Below are 22,435 nucleotides of genomic sequence, written 5' to 3'. Positions count from 1 at the left end.
AGTGCTTCTGTGGAATACAAACCTAACAGCCACATACATAGCAGCCTGGAATGTCCAGGTTAAACCGTGGAGAACATGCGCTTCGGCGCTGCCAGGTGCCTGTGGCACTGGAACTCTCCCAGAATTTCCCTGTACCTGGCTCTCCACTTCCCAAACAAAAGTTCCGGGCATTGAGCCTCTTAAATACTTACAGTTTTTTATTTGTACTGCTGTAATAGGAGGAATAAAAAGACTCATGATAAATATTTAAACAGTACCTGGATAGTACAGATCTTAATGCGTTGCTCTTCATTTCCATATTTAGAAAATGCAACTTTGCCCATAAACAGGGTATAGCCTGTATGTATAATGCCAATAGAAGATTTGTATCTACTGATTATATACCTCATACACGTAGTACTGTTATTAAAATAGAATTCTTTCGTTGTGTAAAAGGTGCCTTTGAAGCACAATATGATGTCACAACATCATTGACTTGTATGGCTTAAAATCTGTTGTGCAGTGGTTTAGATTCAAGTGTATGTGTGCAGCAGAGCTTTGACATGCAATGAGAGCGTGACAGATGTTCTCACATTTTGATTAGGCTCTTGGCAGTGTTGCCAACAATGACCTCCCATTGTAAAAAGCAGACTCTGGAGAGGGATTTGTGGATGAATGGAAAGCATCCTAAAGGTGTGTAATAGAAGCCACATTTTTGCTTCTATTACATTTTATTTTCATTTTCAATTACTTTAGGATAATGTTACTTTTGATTCCACTTGACCCTGGGGTTTGTATTTACCTCATAGGTGACTTGAAAAGAGTATCTTATCTCCCAGGCTATGTTTCATTTCTTTGTTCATTCCGTGAGGCATATTATCATTTTGATGTGAATACTGCAGCACAGATTACTGTGCATGGTTAGTCAACACTATGACCAAGAACCTCTTTTAATGGCACTGCCTACCTGGTGGTGTAGCTGATAAAATAGACCAGCCAAGGAGAAGGAGAAGGGCCAAAGAAACATGGCTAAATGAGCCACAGAGTGCTCCTCTTTGTGTGATCTGTTAATATATTCCCTTAAGACCCTGAGCATCTCGACTGGGAAGGTGAGGGATCTGGTGTCATATTTTACAGACAGACACAAAACAGAGCTGCTCTCTACACAGCCTTCATCCATTCCTGATTATAGCTGTGGGTAGAAAATTGATCTGTACCAGAAATACAGTTTTGAAAATCTGATCCTAGAAACACTGTCAGTTTATCTTCCAATCTGGAACACAGATAAGAATTCAGTTTTAGATAGGTTTATCAAATCTGCAATTGATTCATCTTTTTCCTGCTTTTTATTGTGAATGATACAACCACGTAATATTGATTAAAATTTGTGTGCCATTGTCTTTTAAAAAGAAGTTGAAATATTGAACATAGAAATTATATTTGTAAAACAGATTTGGTGGTAAGTGAATTTACCTGAAAAATCTGTCTACATTTACAGTCAGCAATATGTTTCATTTTAAACAAAGTGAAGTAATAGGGAAATGATAGTTAAATGTTGCCTATCAATAAATATTCATAGTATGATATGCAACGCCAGGTACTGTTTGAATACAAAGAAATTCCAGACATAAGCACTGCCCCTGACTAGAAAGTTGAAACATACAGATGTGAAAAGATTGAAGAACCCAAGGATGTTATCACAGTGGTCAGGGGAAAGGCACAGGCTTCGGTCAGTGCTGTGGTGGTCAGAGGCCATCCTGGCTTGGGTAAAGGAGGAAGCCTTCACAGGAGGGATGGAAGTTGGGCAGGGCTTTGAGGGAATGGGTGTTTTTTAATGCCCAGTTCCCCACTGAGATTCCTGAACAATTTTACCACTGCCCTTTGTTCAAAGACTGCTTCTGCTTTTTTGTTACAGTAAATTCAAGAAAATAATAATCCTACTCTCAGTACCCTGTGCGATGGTTGCCTGGGGCACTTCTCAGTTGATGGAATAGTGTACTGTGGTTGAATGTGGTGTCACAAAGGAATTTAATGTAGCAAAAATACACTTTGATTCCTCAGTGTTTCATCATTGTTCAGCCAGCTAGAGATTGGCTTTTCTTCTTGCAAAATGAAAGACAAAATTTATAGACCTGAAAAGAACACTTAACTGAGTCTATACCCTGAATCAACTCCATTAACAAGCATCTACATTTTATAAAAGTCAGTATAAATTAAGAGAATCCAAGTACTCATATTTTAAGAAGGGGAGCAAACTTAATACAAAGGAAAAATAATAAAGATTTTATAAGTAGTTAACATTGATTTTATTATCTTTACTGTTGTTCTCTTATACTTAATAGGAATTTGGCTTTTCTGGGGATTACCTGCTATAGTACATATGAAACATCAGTAACATCCCTAAGGCGGTTTGCTTTGCAGCCGAGCCAAAATGCTAAAGTAAGAAGAATCTTTGGCTTTACCAACATGCCTTGGGGTGGAGGGAGTGGGATTTTTTTTCCCTTTAATTCAGATTTTTCTAATCTTAGTGATAGCTGATTTGTGCTTGCTAGCATATAGGCTTTGCCATTCAAAGAACATATTTTCAGAACATTAATTCGTGTTTCAATACTCATTAACTTCTGCGCCAAGTTCATGACACATGCAGCTTTTGAGTGTTGACTCATCCACATCCTTGGTGAGCTGACTAGTGAACGAGTGGCAGTGTCTTCCCATAGCAGCGTGTTCGTGTGATTGGGTATAGGTCAGAAATTTTCAGAACGTTTTAGTGAAGAGTGAATGGGGCAGCATTTTCAAAAAGAAACTTTCTGAGGGGTCACTCTATTTTCATATGGTTAGGAAACTGCTTGAATTGGTATCGGTTCTTGCTGATTTATTGCCTGAGCATTTGTGTTATTTCTGATATTACGCTTCATGGCAACATATTTTACTTTAGAATTTCCCCCATCATGCAGGCATTCTAGCTTGAGAGCGTAGTGTTCATATTCAGAGTGTACATACTTGTATCCCTTTCTCCTTCTCTGGATACCAGCTGTGTGACTCTGGAAGATAAGTCTGTTTTCTTGCTGTCTTATAATAGAGAAGTAAGTTATGTGGCTGAAGTCTGTAGTTGCTGCAGTCTCTGCTCCACTGTACATAAATTCTCTACCATGTCTAAAAGAGGACATTACTCTGCAGCAACCTGAGACTACATAACCTATGATATGGTGAATGGGTATGTGTCAGCTGGCTTATAAAGATGTTTGTTAGGAAGTGACTTGCATCCTCTATCTGCTTATGTCTTATTGGTGAAAACATACTCACACTCGGTTGCAAAGAGGTTTTGAGATGTAGTTTTATTCCCAGAAAAAAAAAATGTGACTAGCTAAAAATTAGGGCCTTTTTATCAAGGAAACAGGAGGAATAGATAGATATTGCGGGACAACTAGCAGTCTGCCACACAAGGCAAAAAAAGGCCTTTGGCAAGAGCTTTTTGGTGTAGACCCTGAGATCAGGGCACCCAAATGCCACCTGGTGGCCAGGTACCTAAATCTCAGGATCAGGATTGGAAAAATGAAGGCTCCTAAAAAATAGAATTTTCAGATACTGTAATTGTTGACAGCAGAAATCACATACTACAAAGACAGAAGCACCTGTTAAGGAGGCACTCCTCCCTTGGAGAAAGAAATTTAATACTGTTTCTAGAACATGAAGCGTGATGCAAGCGTATGGGAATATTTGGGCATTAGGATGGACTCTGAGGGATTGCCTGGCACGGTGAGGAAGCTGTGTAAGCTAGTGTCCAGATGGCTCTCCAGGTGTTTGATTCTCTGCTAAGTCAGCATCTTGCCTGGGGTGACCAACTCCCAACTGCCCTCCTTCACAGTCCCTGAGCAGGATGTGGACACAGTCCATCCTTGGGCCTGGTGTTTGGAATGGAAGCATGGCACGAACCCACCTACAGAAAGGTAATCAGGTCCCTAATTTCATAGCTGCCTCCTTTGCTTTTTCCTAGGTGGTATGTTTTTCCACTAATATGATTCTGGCCTCAGGACAAGTTATATGCCTTCCAATTGCACGTACATTAGAGTTCATCTAATGGAGCCCTCTTATTTTACAGACAAGGAAACTAAAATTCAGTCAGTGTAAGTGTATTAACAGAGGTTACACTGTTAACAGTTGACAGAGCCAAGACTAGAACTTACAACTCCAGATCTATGCTAATCCTGCACATTTTGTTATCAAGATAAGTTATTCTCGCTATAGCTCAGGATTTTTTTTTCACCTCTTAAATAAACATGTTAGCCAGGCACAGTGCCTTATAGCTGGAATCCCAGCACTTTGAGAGGCTGGTGCAGGGAGATCACTTGAGACCAAAAGTCCAAGACCAGCCTGGGTAACATAGCAAGACTCCATTTCTACAAAAAAATATATATATTTTTTTTTAATTAGCCAGGCACGGTGGTATACAACTGTAGTACTAGCCACTCAGGAGGCTGAGGCAGGATGATCATTTGAGCCCAGGAGTTCAAGGTTACAGTGAACTATGATTGTGCCACTGCACTCCAGCAAGACCCTATCTCTAAAAAAAAAAAAAAAAATTAATTAGACTAAATGGCCTCTAAATCCCTAAGCTTTCTTACCTCTAAAAACTATAGTTTCTACACCATGTAAGTATCTTGTGATTACTTTGTAGATCCTTACAGAACCTATTAGATAACAATACTCAGTGTAAAAGGGAAGACAATGAGGGACCACAAATTTATATTTTTATGATTTGTAAATATGATTTATTTAATGACTTGTTTTATAAATAGTTTTAAATACTAAATATTTTATAATGAATGTTAATGTTCACTTCTAGTCTCCTTGTTACATATTAATGGAGATTTTACTGCCTTTTCCATTAGTTTATTTATGTCATACAGGCATAACTCGTTTTATTTTGCTTTATTGTATTGTACTTTGCAGATTCCTCGTTTTTTAAAAACTGAAGGTTTGAAGCAACCTTGTGTTGAACAAGTCTGTTACCACCATTTTCCCAACAGCATGTGCTCAGTTCGTGTCTGTCACATTTTGATAATTCTCACAATGTTTCAAGCTTTTTCATTATTACATCACAGTGAGCTTTGATGTGACGATCGTCATTGTTCTGGGGCATCACAAATGCGCTCATAGAAGGTGGTGAACTTAACTGAAAAATGCTGTGTGTGTTCTGACTGCTCCATCCGTCAGCTATACCCTCATCTCTCTCCCTCTCGTCAGACCGCCCTATTCCCTGAGACATAACACTGTTAAAATTAGGCCAAATAATAACCCTACAGTGGCCTCCAAATGTTCAAATGCAAGGAAAACATGCACATCTCTCACTTTAAATCAAAAGCTAGAAATTATTATGCTTAGTGAGGAAGGTATGTCAAAAGCCAAAATAAGCCAAAAGCTATAGGTGCCTCTTGCACCAAACAGCCAACTTGTGAATGCAAAGGAAAAGTTCTTGAAAGAAATAAAAAGTGCTATGCCAGTGAACACATGAATGGTAAGAAAGCAAAACAGCCTTATTGCTGATATGGAGAAAGTTTGAGTGGTCTGGATAGAAGATGAAACCAGCTGCAACCTTCCCTTAAGCCAAGGCCTAATCCATAGCAAAGCCCTAACTTTCTTCAGTTCTGTGAAGACTAAAAGACATGAGAAAGCTGCAGAACATTAGGGAGCTAGCAGAGGTTGGTTCATGAAGTTTAAGGAACGAAGCCATCTGCACAACATAAAAGTTCAAGGTGAAGCAGCAAGTGCTGATGTAGAAGCTGCAGCAAGTTATCCTGAAGATCTAGCTAAAATAATTGATGAAGGTGGCTGTACTAAAACATTTTCAATATAGGCAGAACAGCCTTCTGTTGGAAGAAGATGTCATCTAGGACTTTCATAGCTAAAGAGAAGTCTGCCTGGCTTCAAAGTTCCAAAGTTTCAAAGTTCCAAAGTTCCAAAGGACAGGTTGATTCTATTAGGGGCTAATGCAGCTGGTGATTTTAAGTTGAAGCTAGTGCACATTTACCATTCTTAAAATCCTAGGGCCCTTAAGAATTGTGCTAAATTAGCTGGGCACAGTGACTCATGCCTGTCATCCCAATGCTTTAGGAGACCAAGGCAGTAGGAACTCTCGGGCCAGGAGCTCAAGATGAGCCTGGCAATGTGGTGCAATCCCATACAAAATTTATCTACAAAAAATTTAAAAATTAGCCAAGCATGGTGGCATGTGCCTGTAGTTCTAGCTTCTCAAGAGGCTGAGACAGGAGGATCACTTGAGCTCAGGGGTTCAAGGCTTCAGTGAGCCATGATTGCACCAGTGCACTCCAGCCTGGGCGACAGAGCAAGACTTTGTCTCTTCAACAGAAACGAAAAAACAAACAAAAAAAGAATTGTGCTAAATTCACTCTGCGTGTGCTCTAGAAATGGCCTGGATGACAGCACATCTGCTTACAGTGGTTTACTGAATCTGTTAAGCACACTGTTGAGACCTACTGCTTAGAACAATTCCTTTCCAAATATTTACTGCTCATTGACAATGCACCTAGTCACCCAAGAGCTCTGATGGAGCTGTACAAAGAGATGAATGTTGTGTTTATACCTGCTAACACAATATCCATTCTGCAGCCCATGGATGAAGGAGTAATTTTGACTACATTTGTAAGGCTGTAGTTGCCTTACAAATGGATGGATCTGGGCAGAGTAAATTGAAACCCTTCTGGACAGGATTCACCATTCTAGATGCCATGAGGAACATTTATGATTCATGGGAGGAGGTCAAAATATCAACATTAACATGAGTTTGGAAGAGGTTGATTCCACCCTTCAGGAATGACTTTGAGGGATTCAGGACCTCTATGGGGGAAGTCACTGCAGATGTGGAAATAGCAAGAGATCTAGAATTAGAAGTAGAGTCTGAAGATGTGACTGAATTGCTGCAATCTAATGACCAAATTTGAATGGATGAGGAGTTGCCTTCTTGTGAATGAGCAAAGAAATTGGTTTCTTGAGATGGAATCTATTCCTGCTGGAGATGCTGTGAACATTGTTGAAATGACAACAAAGAATTTAGAATATTCCATAAACTTTGTTGATAAATCAGTGGCAGGGCTTGAGAGGCTTCACACCAGTTTTGAAAGAAATTCTACTGTGAGCAAAATGCTATCAAACAGCATTGCATGTTACAGAAGTCTTTCATGAAAGGAGGAGTCAACCAGTGGGCAAACTTCATTGTTGTTTTAAGAAATTGCCACAGCAACCCCATCCTTCAGCAACCACCATCCCAATCATCAGCAGTCATCAACATTGAGGCAAGATACCCCTCCACCAGAAAAAAGATTACAACTCACTGAAGACCCAGATGATCATTAGCATTTTATAGCAATAAAGTGTTTTTAAATTAAGGTAGGTACTTTTTTTTAAGACATAATGCTATTGCTTTGTACACTAGTGTAAACAGCTTTTATATGTACTGGGAAACCAGAAGTGGGTGTGACTTTCTTCTTTTTTGATACTTGCTCTATTATAGTGGCCTGGACCTGAGCTACAGTATCTATGAGGTGTGCCTGTATAGACACACACTTAGATTTTTATTTAAGTCTTAGTGTTGGTCACCATGTGGCAGCTTGAACCCCCACTTGAAATATATTCAGAAATAAAATAAAACTTTATTTACTCTTTTGCTTTTGTCATCTTATCTCTGGTTGACTTCTCTCAGGATCATATTCAGGGATTGGCATTCATGCCAACGCTGGCACCAGCCACCTTCTAACTCAAATTCAGAAGAATATTCACAGATCTGTTTTGGAAATTGTAGCCCAAGACCTCTGCCCCTTGTGCGGTGAGTCTGGATGGCCACTTCTGTACTCATAAAAGCAGGTGATTTTTCTACCTGCAGGGTTACATCTGTCCCAGTGTCTCTCACCCTATTTCTGCCTCCCTAATAGGTGATGGTAGACAATTAATAGGATTAGCAGGCCATCTAGAAACACAACTGTGATCATTGTTTAGATTTGCTCTGCCTAGAGAAGGCTTGGCAGAAAAGAGTTGGGGGTAATCTTTTCCTGCTTTTCTTAAACCCCCGGGGCAACATTTTAGTTTGCCAGCAAAACTCAACTGTTTTTGGCTTTCTGCCATACTGTTTTAGAACAAAAGGAGAGGAGAGACAATAGGAGCTTCGTGTGGGCTGTCCACCTGCTACACAGATTTCTTCCCTCCCCTCCCCTCCACTTGCTTTGCCTGGAGTTACACTGATGGTCGACGGGTGATGGGTGAGTAAAAATAGACCCAGTGCTGGGGATATTCCATTATCTCCCTAAAGGAAAAACCATTACTGGCATTACTGTCATTGGTCTGTGAAGGAGGGAGGAAAAAATTTCCATCTCCACAAGTGTAGTCTTTTGATTTGGATTAAGTGTACCTTGACCTGGTTTTAGGGAGGTAGACTGGATTATTCTCTGTTCACCCTCTGTGCTGACTCAATGTAAGATATAGACAGAAATGTTGTCATAGTTATAAAAATGGTAGTAAAATATTGTGAAGTGGAAGGCATTGTGAGGGTACCTCATAGAAACACATGCAAGTTCCTTGTCATTGTCTGTGTTGGGTACATGCTCCTCCACACAACTTTTGATGCTCTTCTTCATACAGCCGCGCCCCAGTGCCGCCCCGTAGCCCCGGACCACCATACTCAGACTCACCTCTGCCTCGTTTCTCCATGACCCATCCTGGTTCTGCTCATTTTTCTTTACTATTTTCTGAAATTCCACACATCTTTCAATATTCATCCAAACGCCAACTGTCCTGTAGAAGCTTGTCTTCTTGCTCCTGCCCCTGGGAGCTCAGTGTAAAGCAGAAGACGGGGAAAGAGGACATTCAGCTGTTAGTTGAAAATACAGCATGGATGTGTGCTCATGTTCTTCGTACATAAACTCATTGCTTCAAAGTTGAATTGCCCTGAGAAGTGGTGCTGGCTTCTCTGATCAGGCTGTCACAATTAAACAGTTGAGTACTCTGAGGTAGTTAGTTCTGGGTCTTCATGCAGAAATTGATATAAAACACTGTGGCTTTGTTAAGACACTAGAGAAAGCTTCATCATTTATGTTGGTTCATGTCTCAAAAGAAAAATTTAAACCATCTTCTCAGGCTGAATTGACAAATGCAGCCCATTTTAATTCTGTCTTTAAGAGCATCTACCAGTTAGTTCTGAATCAAGTAATAGATGACTCTTTGTTTCCTCCTAGCCTCTATGTGTGTACATTTGTATACATATGCCTGTATAGAAGTAGCCATAAACATTAATATATGCATACAAGCATGTCTTTAAACAGCATGCTTTTTTGATCTCAGTTCAGGTAGAGGGTGATTGTGAAATTGGCTTTCAAATAGAAAATCATTTAGCCTGCAAGTAAAAAATCATTATATATGTGCTACCTACATCTGGAGCCTCAAGTTTTCTGTTTTGCCTAGGATATATCTAATTCAATTCCAGAATTTAATATGTATATAGCTAATTTAAGTATTTGGAAGAGACTTAGAAAGAGTATAATCTGAACTGTGGATGGCATGTTGTTTAAGAATCTGCAGATTTGATTGTGTTTGGAAATGCTTTGACACCATTGCTCAGAATCCTTAGAAATAAGAGCAACGAAGGAGTGTTCTGGGATTCCTAAAGCTCACCTGTTTGGATTTACAATTCATTTATGTCTATGTATGGCTGCCTTTCCTTGCCTTCATCAGAAATTCTCTGTCAGCATTGATGGGTGGAGGTGGGATGGGGAAGAACCCCTTTCATTCATCCCGTCAGTTTGTTTTTATTGAGAATTTGCCATGTGCCAAGCATTGTTGTAAACACTGGGAATGTAGCAGCGACGTGAAGAGATGTTGTCTTTGCCCTTATGAGAAATACAGGCAAAAACAAGTGAACAGAAAATAAATGTCAGCATTGCAAGTTGGGAGAAGAGCTGTGCATGAAATAAACAAAGACTGCAGCCGAGAATGGCAGAAGGCCCTGTGCAGTTGGAGTGGTCACGGGAAGTTCCCCTGAGTTTTCACTTGAAACCTAAAGGCTCAGCGGGAGCTAACCAAGTGAAAATGGGGGACAGGCGGCCCAGAACGTTAAAGCAAAGGCCCTGAGAACAAAGCACTTGGTCTCAGAGAGGACCTAAGAGAAGCCCAGTGAGTAAGGGGGGAGTGGATGAAGGGCAGGGGGAAGGCAGAGAGCCTCATGGCCGTGTTAGGGAATGTCAGATTCATTCCAAGTGTGATGGGAGTCACTGCAGAGTTTTATACTGGAGAGAGACATGGTTTTGATGTAAGAAAATCATTTTCCGTTTTGTGAAGAACAGATTAGAGGGGGTGATAAGGAAGCAGAGAGAGCAGATGGACATTGGTAGCAGTAGACCAGATAAGAGATAAGGTGGCCCAGGCTAGAGTGGTGACTGTGGACAAGGTGGGCTGGTGAGTTTGGAATATACCTAGAAGGTAGAATTGCGAAGACACACTAAGGGATTGCATGTTGGAAGGCTGAGAAAAAAGGATGCCTGAGGAATGACTGAGATTTTGAATCTGAGAAACTGGTACCATTTATCAGTGAGTTGGCAGTGGGTTGTGTAGGATGAGATTAGGAGGATAAATATTTTGGACGTGTTAAGTTTGTGGTACATGTTAAATATCATCCAAGTGGCAGTGTCAAATAGGGAGTTAGATATTTGAGTCTCATGCTCAAAGGAGAGATCTGAGTTAGAGTTTTAAGTGGGAATCTTCAGCATAAATATGTTACTTAAATCCAGGGACAAGGGCAAAGTCACATGCAGAGCATATAAAGAGTGGAGAAGGCTCAGGACTATGCCTGGGGCAGCCCCACATCTAGGGGGGTCAGTTGAAGGAGGAAGAGCTAGCAAAGGAGCCTGAGAAGCAGCAGCCAGGGAGGTGAGAGCTGAACCAACAGAGACCTCACCAGGCAGAGCAGGAAGTCCACGAAAAGGGATTAAAAGGAGGGAGTGGCAGGCAACACCCAGTGCTGATGGTTGGGCAAATGAGGAAGGAAGAGGAGTTACTGGATTTGACAAGGTGGATTATTGGTGATATTGATAAGAGCACTTTCAGTGAGTAGTAGGGCTGATGAGGGCTGAACAGGGTGTATCAGGAAAGACAAGAGAGGAGGAGATAGACGCTCTTATCACAGGTTTCTTTATGGATGGGTGTGATTGAAGATGGGGAGAATTAGCTATGCTTTTACATATTTTTGTATTGCATTTTTGCTAGTTAAAATAATCTTGTATTAATGGTATGATGTGAAAAGCTTATTAAAAATATTTAAATTTTTTAAGAAAAATACAATCCCTGGCTACGTTAATCACGCATCTCTGACTTTTAACAGCTGTGGTTTACATCTTCCCACTCTCTCTCTTCTTCCGATTACTTTTCAAATTTGATGTTTTCTTCCTTTAGAATAACTTGTACAGCTGTGCTAAGAAAACCTATAAAAAAATCAATCTTAATTACATAAAACTTTACCAACAAGGCTTTCCATAGCTTTTGTGTCATTAAGTTCAGGACCCGGGAGAAGGTAGGAGAGGGGAAGAAAATGGGCTCCAGACAATGAAAAGTTGCATGGGGCATATGAGTTCAATGGCATGTTAAGTGAGAGAAACTAGATTGCCTTGGTGCATTGATAGTTTGGTTCTAGAGGGAGAGAATCACTCAGAAACAAGTTCCCTTGAGAAGGGGAAGAGAGCCACAGCCATAAGAAGAAGGATTGGCCTTCAAAGGAGAAGGAGCGTTTTCTCCATTCTGCCAGGAGGGAATGAGTGTGCAAGAGTGTCTGGGGGCGTCAGTGCAGGGAATCCAAGCACCAGCTCCTTGCTCTCCTTCTGTGAGACCTCTCAGGCCTTGAATTCTCCATTTGCTTACTTATTTTATCTTGAGTTTCAACTAAAAAATAAAAAAAGAAAAAAGAAAAAAAGGTAGTTTTCCAGCCTGGCCAACATGGCGAAACCCCATCTCTACTAAAAATACAAAAATTAGCCAGGTATGGTGGCACACACCTGTAGTCCCAGCTACTCGGGAGGCTGAGACAGGAGAATTGCTTGAACCCGGGTGGCAGAGTTTGCGGTGAGTCGAGATCGCATAAACACATTACACCCACAATATTGAGAGTTTGTGTTGGTGTCAGTTTGGGGAATGATTTATATCATTCTTGATGCATTAGTGGGCTGACATCCTGGCTGGGGTCAGTGTTAGCAGGCAGGGCAGTCAGTTCTGAGATCAAAACTAAAACAGTAGGGACTCATTGCCATTTTTTCATAGGATAAAGTGGCTACTTAATAAATAGCCTAGCCCTCGTGATCACATTTGGCTGCCAGTTTGACCAGCCTTGAGCAATGCCCTTGAGACCCCACCAGCCTGGCCCCTGCCCTCTCCCTCACTCATCTCCTGCCACTCTCCCTCACCCGCCTGCTGCAGCCGCTCTGGCCTCCTTGCTTTGCTTGGCATACATGCATGTACTCACCCACTCCACCCCTCCCCTCTGCCTGGACTGCCCCTACTCCTGGCCCTCCATCCTCTACTATACAGAGTCACTTACTCTGCATGGATCAGAGACTCCTTCGCTCTCCATCCTGTGTACTATAGCAGCCCTTCCCCACTCACTTACCCGTATCTCCATTGCACTCATCACCAGCTGACATTAGATTTTCATTCATGTGTCTGTCTGTCTCCCCTTTAGAATGTGGTTTTCCCCACTGCTGTGTCCCCAGAGTCCAGAACACAGAGTAGATATGTTTAAGTACTTGACGATTGAAAGTGGTTGTGATAGATAGAGTCTGAAATGATCTGGTTGTTGCCAGAAACCTATAAAAGTGAAACTTTTTTTTTTTTTAATATTTCTGTGTTGGACCATCTTCCTCTCCTCTGGTAGGGTAATTTGTCCACTAGAAATGGACAAATGTTGCCAGAAAAGTGAATGTTGTACTACGAGTTTTACTTCTGTGAAATTTTTTGTGTGATCTAGCCTTTAAGAGTTATTTTAGGCCATAGTTTATAACCAAAACAGAAAATTATACTATGCCTCCCTTATAGAGCATCAAAGTAAATTTGTCTATTTTCCTAGCATGCTTTTATTGTACTGGAGCCCTCCAACTCTAGGTTGTTGCATGTGTACACATGTTTGGAAATCTTTTAGACAAGTTGACCAGTAAAAAGGCAATTCTACTGACATGTAAATTCAGTTGACCCATTCCGTATTGTGTTTTATGAGAATCTAGGATCATTAGTTTGTATTTATTTTTTTTTCAGCCTCTGGACGGTCAAATCTTCATTCTTTTAGTGGCTTTTGGCTTTTTTAACATCATCTTTTTAAAAAATAGCTTCTTTCATGCATTCAATTTCCTTTTCCTTCTTCACTTCTCAGTATTTGTATTGGTTTATGTGCATGTTTTCTTCATTGTGTTTCTTGTAATGTCTTGAATGCTGCATTAGTCTAAGTGAGGCCCCAGAAGTCACCGTGCCCCATAAAGAGACCAAAGGATGCTAAAGATGGTGATGGTTGTACTGACTAATCCTAATTTAAATAAAAAGGAATTTTCAAGTGAGAAATCACAGTAAGTGTCTAAGAATGACTGAGTGTGGCCGGGCGCAGTGGCTCACACCTGTAATCTCATCAGTTTGGGAGGCTGAGGCGGGCAGATCACCTGAGATCAGGAGTTCAAGACCAGCCTGGTCAACATGGAAAAACTCTGTCTCTACTAAGAATACAAAAATTAGCTGGGCATGGTAGTGGGTGCCTGTAATCCCAGCTACTCAGGAGACTGAAGCAGGAGAATTGCTTGAACCCGGGAGGTGGAGGTTGCGGTAAGCCGAGCTCTCACCACTGCACCCCAGCCTGGGCAACAGAGCAAGACTCCATCTCAAAAGAAAAGAATGACTGAGTGAAAACATTGCTTAAGCAAATAAAAATAATTATTTCACAGATATTTATTAAGCACTATGCACTGGTGGTGTGCTTAGTAAATATCTGTGAAATAATTATTTTTGGGAATATAAGGCAGGTTAGAGTTTACTAGGGAAAATGGAGATGCAATCAAGCATTTCCAGCAATTCAGTGGAGGGAAAACCATATTAATAAGCTGCTCACAGGTTCTGTGGGAACCTGGAGAAGGAGAAGCATCTAAGGCTCCTCTTGGAAACAAGGCCTCCTGGAAAGGAGCTTTGGGCAGATGGAAAGAGCACAAGGAACAAATAATGAAGAAAAGAAATCATACATACAAATTCATACAAATACTGAGGAGTGAAGAAGGGAAAGGAAGTTGAATGCAAGAAACAAGCTACTTTTAAAAACATGATATTAGAAAAGCCAAAGCCACTAAAAGGATGAAGCTGTAAGCATCCAGAGTCTGAAGAAAATAAATCCAAAGTAATGATCCCAGAGTCTCATAAAACACAATAAGGACTAGGTCAGCTGAATTTACAGGTTAGTAGAATTGCTTTTTTATTGGTCAGCTTGTCTAAAAGCTTTCCAAATGTTTGTAAGCATGCAGCAACCTAGAGTTAGAAGGCACCAATCCAGTGGAAATGAATAGCTTGTACAAAAGCAAAGGTGTCCTCACAGTGCTGCAGATAAGCAAGTAGCCTGGTTGGAGCCCCATAGCATGTGAGCCTGGAAAGGGAGACAGATCCAGACCCTTAAGGGCCTGTGTAGGATTCGTATCAGGCCATCTACCTACCAGGTGCTTAGAGAATTAGAGTCAGGTTCCAGGGAAAGTTGTGAAGGGGGTGGTGGGGGCGGGGATGGTGGTGGTGGTGGAGGAGCCCATGGGCACAGCCGAAAACTCCAACAGTGTGTATGGTGGGAGAAGAGGACCACAGTCTCACATTTTAGGGACACAGGAGGAGGAGGAGCCACAAAAGCTGGCATCACAGAAGCCAGAGGAGAAGAGTTTCAAGGAGGATGGTGTGGTATTGCAGAGAAGTCACAGGGGATATAGACTGGGCAGTGCTGGGATTGGCTGTGAGCATTTGACTATGAGAGGGGCCAGTCAATGTCAGGTAGCAGTGGATTGACCATGTGAGGGGTCAGGAAGCCTAACTCTGCTTCTCATGAATGAAGGGGTTCCTTACAGCCCAGGACATGTGTGCTAATTACCAGGTAGTAGAAATATTACTGGAAATGCGCTGAATGAACGTTCTTGCACTCCACATACAGACTTTGTTGCCAGCCTTTGTGTATGCACCCCAGTGCTTCATAATCATCAGTATTCCCCATCCACCATCCTGAATGCCGTCTATCATCAGTAAAGTATACCATGTTCTTTTCTAGATCTTTCGTGAACATGATTCAGTTAGTCATCTTCAGCTTTCATTTTCTTGATTACTGGTGATAATAAAAAGGTATATATAGGGCTGGGCAAGGTGGCTCACGCTTGTAATCCCAGCACATTGGGAGGCCGAGGCAGGAGGATCACTTGAGCCCAGGAGTTTGAGGCTAGCCTGGGACACATAGGTGAGACCCCATCTCTACAAAAAATTTTAAAATTAGCCAGGCATGGTGGCACATACCTGTAGTCTCAGCTACTCAGGAGACGGAGGCACAAGGATCCCTTGAGTCCAGGAGTTTGAGGCTGCAAGTGAGCTATGATTGTACCACTGTACTCCAGCCTGGGTGACAGAGTCAGAACCTGTCCCCCCCAAAAAAAAAAGAAAAGGATATATCTGTAAGATTAAAAGTATATTTCTGTGTTTAGAAACAAAGGAATATGCAAAAATCTGTCTATGATGATAATGCTGGGGCTAGAGTGGTGGGAGGCATGTCTGGGCTGTCAAAAAAGATATATATGATTTGACTGATAAGATTTCTGCTACTGTTATTCCACTGCACAAATATAAAACATTTCACACAGCCAAGTTCAGAATATAAATCAAAAAGAATTTGTTCTTTTACCTTCACAGCAGGATTTCTGCTTTGTGATTTGCCTTCATGTCCCCCCTGCCCCGTTTTTCCCCACCCCACTAGTGAGTTACTTCCCAGTAGCTATTTGTGATACCGCCTCTACGCCTCTAGTTCAGTCTCTTCTAATTGACCACCTCTTTGCAAAACAAAAAAATGGTATTGAACAGTTATGCCAGCTTCCTGATTCTAGGACTTCTGTTGATGCTGTCCTTAATTCGGGGCCACACTCAGCTTCATACAGTCCCATTTAATCCCCCACACTGCCATGAACTGCTTGGTTGCACAAACACTGCTCTGCTTTTTCCCCACTAACATCTGCCTCTCTTTAGTAGTTCACCCTTTTAAGGGGTGAATAGTTACCAGCCACAAATTTTTAAGGCTGCACAGTTCTCTTCTGTTCTATTAATGAACATTCTGACCAGAGTTTGTCTTTTCAGCATTTTGGTTATTAATTTTATTTTTCTACTTACAATAAAACAAGTAAGTGGTCTGCTGTAGTTTTGAGTTAATGAGGATTTGAAATGGATTTCACATATCCTTGTTGGGTTTTTATTATGCAGGTGCAATCTCATGCAGCAAATTACCATAACTAAACAGTTTAAGAACCCATAAAGCTCCTCTGCCCTGGCATTGCCAAATTAATAGATTAACAGCTACACATAAGGAAAATGTCAGATGTTAAATATTTTTCATTAGTAATAAGTTGGAAATTTGTGACCTCAGAAAGCTTATGTAATCTCTTAAGTGCCTGAACCAGAGTTAATTTTATCTTATTATTTTTCAACTTACAAGGATTTTCAGGCAAGACTCTAGGCTGCTCTGTATAAATTTTTTTTTAATGAAACACCATTCAAACTACCTTTTCTGATATTATTTAATTGAAATGTAGGGTCCAGTTTGGGCATTAATTTATGTCTTGATGTAGCATGTTTTCAAAGCACCTACTGTCTTCTGGGTACCTTGCTGGATACAGAGGCAAATAGATGCACAGGCCTAGAACGGGGACACATGGGAGCACAATACAGTGCCATGGTGAGTTCAGGAGGGGCCCCCAGAGGAGGGGGAGGGGATTGGCTGATTTCCTTTTTACAGTGGCTAAGAGCATACAGTATGGAGCCAGAAAGCTTGGGTTCAAATTCTGACTCCATAGTTTACGAGATGTATGACTTGGGTTCCTTACTTAACAATTTATCTGCGTCAGAATGACCCCAGCTGAAAAGTGGGGGTATTCGTAGTACATTCCACAGGGGATTGGTTCCAGGACACCCTGTGGATACCGAAATCTGAGGATGTTCAAGTTTGTTATATAAAATGGCACGGCATTTGCATACAGCCTATGGTTGTCCTCCCACACACTTTAGATTATCTCTAGACTGTGTATAATACCTAATACAAAGTAAACACTATGTAAATAGTTGTTATACTCTCCTGTTCTTTAAATTTTTTATTGTTGTATTATTATTTTTTGTTGGGTTTAAAAAAAATTTTTCAATCCACAATTGGTTGACTCTGCAGATGTGAATCCCATGGATGTAGAGAGCCAACTGTATAGACCTCATATTTGGATTAAAATGAGAGAATATTTTTAAAGCCCTTAGACTAGTGCTTGCTTGTTACATGGTAAGAACTAAATAAGTGTTTTAAACAAGTCAAGTAAAATAAATAATGTGAATTTTGACCAAAGTATGAACTAAAGAAAACTCTGTTGTGAAAAATATAGAAACTAACTGGCAGGTATTTTAACATTTGTTTTTAAATGTATGGAAACTTTAGTTGATAATTAGCTTGCAAGGTTCTGTCACTAGGTTCTGTCTGCAGAACCTTGGCTAACTTTTGTTTCTTTTGGTTTTGGTTATTTTAACATTTTCAGGTAAGGAATAACTTTCTAACAGAGAGGCTCCAAAATGCAATGAATGGCCATTTGTGCTGTTTTAAGTTTCTTTCTTGTTACTAGAAATATTTAAGCAAAGGATGAACCTGCCTGAGATGTAGCTTTGTGGGTGTCTGCATTGGATAGGGGAGGGAGGAGGAGGTCAAACAAGTGAACTTCTAAGAGCCAATAGATTTTTTTTTTTTCAGTCATGATTTGGTTTAGAAAGGCATGTGACATTGGGATTGGGGCTCTGGAGATGCGAAACAGCAATATCACTAGAGAGGCTGGTTGAAGTTGGGAAGAACTGAGAGAAGTTGAAGGCAGAAAGTGGAGAGCTTTAATTGCTGGTCTAAAACGTGGACTTTGGATGGGCTTGGTGGTTCACACCAGCACTTCGGGAGGCCCAGGCAGGAGGATTGCTTGAGGCTAGCAGGTTGAGACCATCCTGGACAACGTAATGAGACCCATGTCTCTACAAAAAATAAAAAATTAGCTGCATGTGGTGGTGCATGCCTGAAGTCCTGGCTACTCAGGAGGCTGAGCCAGGAGGATGAGGATTGCTTTACATACATACATACATACATACATACATACATACATACATACATGGACTTCATTTTGTAGAGAATGGAGAGGCATTGCCTGTTTTGAATAGTAGAGTGACTTAGATTAAAAGGGAGGTTTTACATGGATTAATCTGGTAACAGGTGCTCAGATTGGAAGCAGGAGTCCTGGAAGCCAAGGCCCCTGTGCAGGCAGGCAGGGATAAGATGGTGTGGGAGAGGTAGCTACAATGACTTTGAGCTCCGGACCTGAGGTAAGCTGGTATAGGTATTTGAGGGTCAAAAAGAGAGTATTTAGCCCTCGGAGCAGGCGGCGGGGGCGGCCTGTGCAGCAATGGCTAAGATCAAGTCTCGGGACCTTCACGGGAAGGAGAAAGAGTTGCTGCTCAAACAGCTGGACGACCTGAAGGTGGAGCTGTCCCAGCTGCGCATCGCCACTGACAGGCGGCGCGGTCTCCAAGCTCTCTAAGATCCGTGTCATCCACAATTCCATTGCCCGTGTTCTCACCGTAATTAACCAGACTCACACAAAGAAAACCTCAGGAAATTCTACAAGGGCAAGAGGTACAAGCCCCTGGACCTGCGGCCTGAGAAAACATGCGCCTGCGCCACTGGCCCAGCAAGCACGAGGAGAACCTGAAGACCAAGCAGCAGCCGCGGAAGGAGCGGCCGTACCCGCTGCAGAAGTACACAGTGAACGCCTGAACGTCACATTGTCAATAAAAGAGAGCTGGCCGAAGAGAACAAAAGAAAAGTGTGTATTTAATATGCAATTCTGTATTCATTCAACAAATATTTATTGAAGGCAAACAATGCAGAACTCATAACCCTCTGATGATGGACTCATCATGTGGTTCTCATGCAGGAGCAAAACACACAGCATATGCCTTCCATGTGCAGCATAAATCCCATTGCAGTGAGCCATGTTACAGGGCAGTTTCTGCCTGTACCAAAACAGACGCTGCTTTCTCTGGGCCTCCGCGTGTAGCAGGGTTCCTTCACTTTTAATGAAAATGTCTGATTGTGTGTCTTCATTAACTACAAAGAGATCAGACCAGTGGAACTGAAGATGGCTTTGATGTTCTACAATCAAGTCAGATTTATTCATCCTAGCCCTGTGTGTCTTTCTACCTCAAAACACCAGGTTACTGCTAAAATCCAAATAAACTCATCAAAGTGCCATAGCACGAGATCCAGCTGTGCCTCCTTCACTGCCCTTCTTTCCTTGTATTCAGAACTTCCACTTTCTATTTCGCTTTTGGCTTCACAGTTTGAGACTGGGAAAAGGCGTATTATTCCAAAAAACAGATGGCTGAGCCTTAGAGAGCTGGTGAATTTCTGCAGAGATGATCAGTATAGCACTTAGCACATTGTTGGTGCTCAAGAAATGTACTAAAAGTTAAAACAGATTTTAAATAGACTGACTTTGCTGTAATTGAGGTATCCTAAGGGAGCTTTTAAATCCCCAGTGTTACCAAAATGCCCAGCCATCCTTGGAAAAACTAACTAAAGCAGTCTGGAATAGACTTTCCTTCTGTATTTTCTGCCCAAAGATGACTCTTAAACTCCTCTCTACTCCCCAAAAGTTAAATGCCTGGAACATAGACAAGATGACAACCTTCTAATGCCAGGCTAGCATTTTTCACCTTAGTACAGCACAGAAACATGTAATGCCTCCCTCTAAGTCCTAGGAAGTTCTTCATATGCTCATGTTACAGGGTAACTGAAGCACGGAGTTTGCCCGCCTACTGTCCAGTTCTTTTGGTAATGGAATGTCTTGTTCCTCTGCATGCTGCCTGTGGACTCAGAGCAGTTCTGCTCCTTGTCAGATTTATTTGGCACACGTAGCACAGACCACACAAGTGGCCTCTGTCAACTCTGATAAAAAGGGGGAGCTCAACACCCTTTTATGAACATTCTCCTTTAAACCTGTCAGGCTCTAAAATTAGGCAGGAGTTGCTATCACCAGACATTCTTCTGTCTGAAGGGGCTGCCCTTTGCAGCCTACCTTCATCTTTCATAGATGAGCACATCTCATGACTGGCGATAATGGGAGTCCTGGCATTTGCCTCAGATAGCTCAGTATCTGAACTGCATCAAATGCATTACTGAAGATTGTTTTCAGGAACCTAACTGATTGCACATTCGTGCGTCTTAACACAATTGATTTTATTACTAAATGTACGCATCTCAAGGAGAATAATAATTTCAAGAGAGACAGTTGATCTTTGCACAACTAAGGTCATTGATTTGAAGGAACAGTAATGTTCCATTGATTTGTCATATTTACTTCTCTTTTTTCTTTAAAGGAAGATATTCTTTTTTTTTTGAAATCAGATTTACATGTTAAGGCAGCTAGATGTGTGTTTAGTGATTGCCCTCTTGTGCTAAAACATGCTTCCAGAGTTAAACTGCTTTATCATTGGTGATGCCTCTGGAAAGTTGTGCTTGACAACAGAGATGGGATTTCTGAAACTTTAGACTTATGTACTTTATATAAATGTACACCATTTCTTCAGTAGTTTTTTTTTTTTAACATAAAGCATTCAGCTCAAGGATCTGTGAGTTCTTATCTGTTAAACAATTATTCTTAGAATATGGTTTTAAATGTGCAAAATCAGAAGCTGCTTTAAATTTAATTGATTACTTAAAAAGTTGGGATAGCTTTATGATTTGCTCAAGCATTTTTTTATTTGTGAAATGAATTGTGTCTGTTAAGCCTTAAAAAAATACTATTGAAATGGAATTTTTTTGGTAGAATGGCCATGGCAAGATATAGTGGGATTTTTATTGTTTTAATAATCTGTCTTCAAGATGGTAACACTAATGACTGTGTGGAGAAGGATCATCTTTCTAAGCTGACTCATTTTGCTAAAATAGTAACAGCAGCCCCTCTTGTATCTGGAATATCGCTTTTGAAATGTTTGAGTGAGTCTCCTTTTTAAGAAAATAACAAAAACAGTCTGGGCGCGGTGGCTCACGCCTATAATCCCAGCACTTTGGGAGGTTGAGATGGGCAGATCACTGAAAGTCAAGAGATCGAGACCATCCTGGCCAACATGGTGAAACCCTATCTCTACTAAAAATACCAAAGTTACCCGGGTGTGGTGGTGCACACCTGTATTCTCAGCTACTCAGGAGGCTGAGGCAGGAGAATCGCTTGAACCTAGGAGGCAGAGGCTGCAGTGAGCTGAGATCATGCCACTTCACTCCAGCCTGGACAACAGAGTGAGATTCCGTCTCAAAAAAAAAAAAAAGCAGAGAAGCAAATAAGGGATAGCATCTCTGGCAGAATGATATTTGTCCCCAGGATTCCCTAGAGATAGGTGGTCATTGTCTTGGGGAAGAAGAAATGAATGTGTTAAATCTATACCAAAGGCTCTAACACTTTCAACATTTTGTATAATTGCACCCAATAAAGATATTTACAAGGAAGTAATAACTTGAAGTTAATTACTTTGTGATATAGTAGGAAAAAAACACTGAAACAGGGACTTGGGAGACCTTGGTAGTAATGTGCCATAAGCTGGCAGTGTTGCCTTGGCGGGTATTTTTTTTAAAGACAGAGTCTGGCTCTGTTGCCCAGGCTGGAGTGTAATGACGCAATCTCGGCTTACTGCAACTTCTGCCTTCTGGGTTCAAGAGATTCTCGTGCCTCAGCCTCCTGAATAGCTGGGACTACAGGTGTCCTCCACCATGCCTGGCTAAGTTTTGTATTTTTAGTAGAGATGGGGTTTTGCCATGATGGCCAGGCTGGTCTTGAACTCCTGTCCTCAAGTGATCTGTCCGTCTTGGCCTCCCAAAGTTCTGGGATTGCAGGCATGAGCCACTGTACCCAACCCTTGGCAGGTATCTTTATCTTCTTGAATCTTATTTTGTCATTTGTAAAATAAGAGAGGACTGCTAGCTGGATGACAGCCTGGAGTGACAACCTCTCCCTATATCTGAAACATTTTAAAGTCCCAGAATTTACTATTATTATCTTATATCCTCAGGGCTGAGAAAGAACTGACACCAGCTTTTGTTTACCAGGTGGCACAGTCTTGTGGCTGCTCAGAAAATACCCTTCTCAGC

At 41.3% G+C, this 22,435-nt stretch overlaps 1 protein-coding gene and 1 pseudogene across 2 annotated transcripts in view; both read left to right on the top strand.

Annotated features, from left to right (window-relative positions):
* PREP (prolyl endopeptidase) overlaps positions 1-22,435 on the top strand; it is a 129,865-nt gene that overhangs the window by 81,564 nt on the left and 25,866 nt on the right. Inside the window, exon 11 of one of the 2 annotated variants that reach the window (XM_011535925.4) lies at positions 4,930-6,887. The exons of the other annotated variant lie outside the window; for it this stretch is intronic. Coding sequence (XP_011534227.1) covers positions 4,930-5,091 — 162 coding nt within the window. The 3' untranslated portion in view covers positions 5,092-6,887. Of the gene's footprint in view, positions 1-4,929; positions 6,888-22,435 lie in introns of those variants that run through there. 2 annotated transcript variants of the gene reach the window in all.
* On the top strand, positions 18,660-19,099 carry RPL35P3 (ribosomal protein L35 pseudogene 3; annotated as a pseudogene).

The sequence above is a fragment of the Homo sapiens genome, chromosome 6 (assembly GCF_000001405.40).
Source record: "Homo sapiens chromosome 6, GRCh38.p14 Primary Assembly".
Taxonomy (NCBI): Eukaryota; Metazoa; Chordata; class Mammalia; order Primates; family Hominidae; genus Homo; species Homo sapiens.
This window is presented reverse-complemented; position numbering and strand designations above follow the sequence as displayed.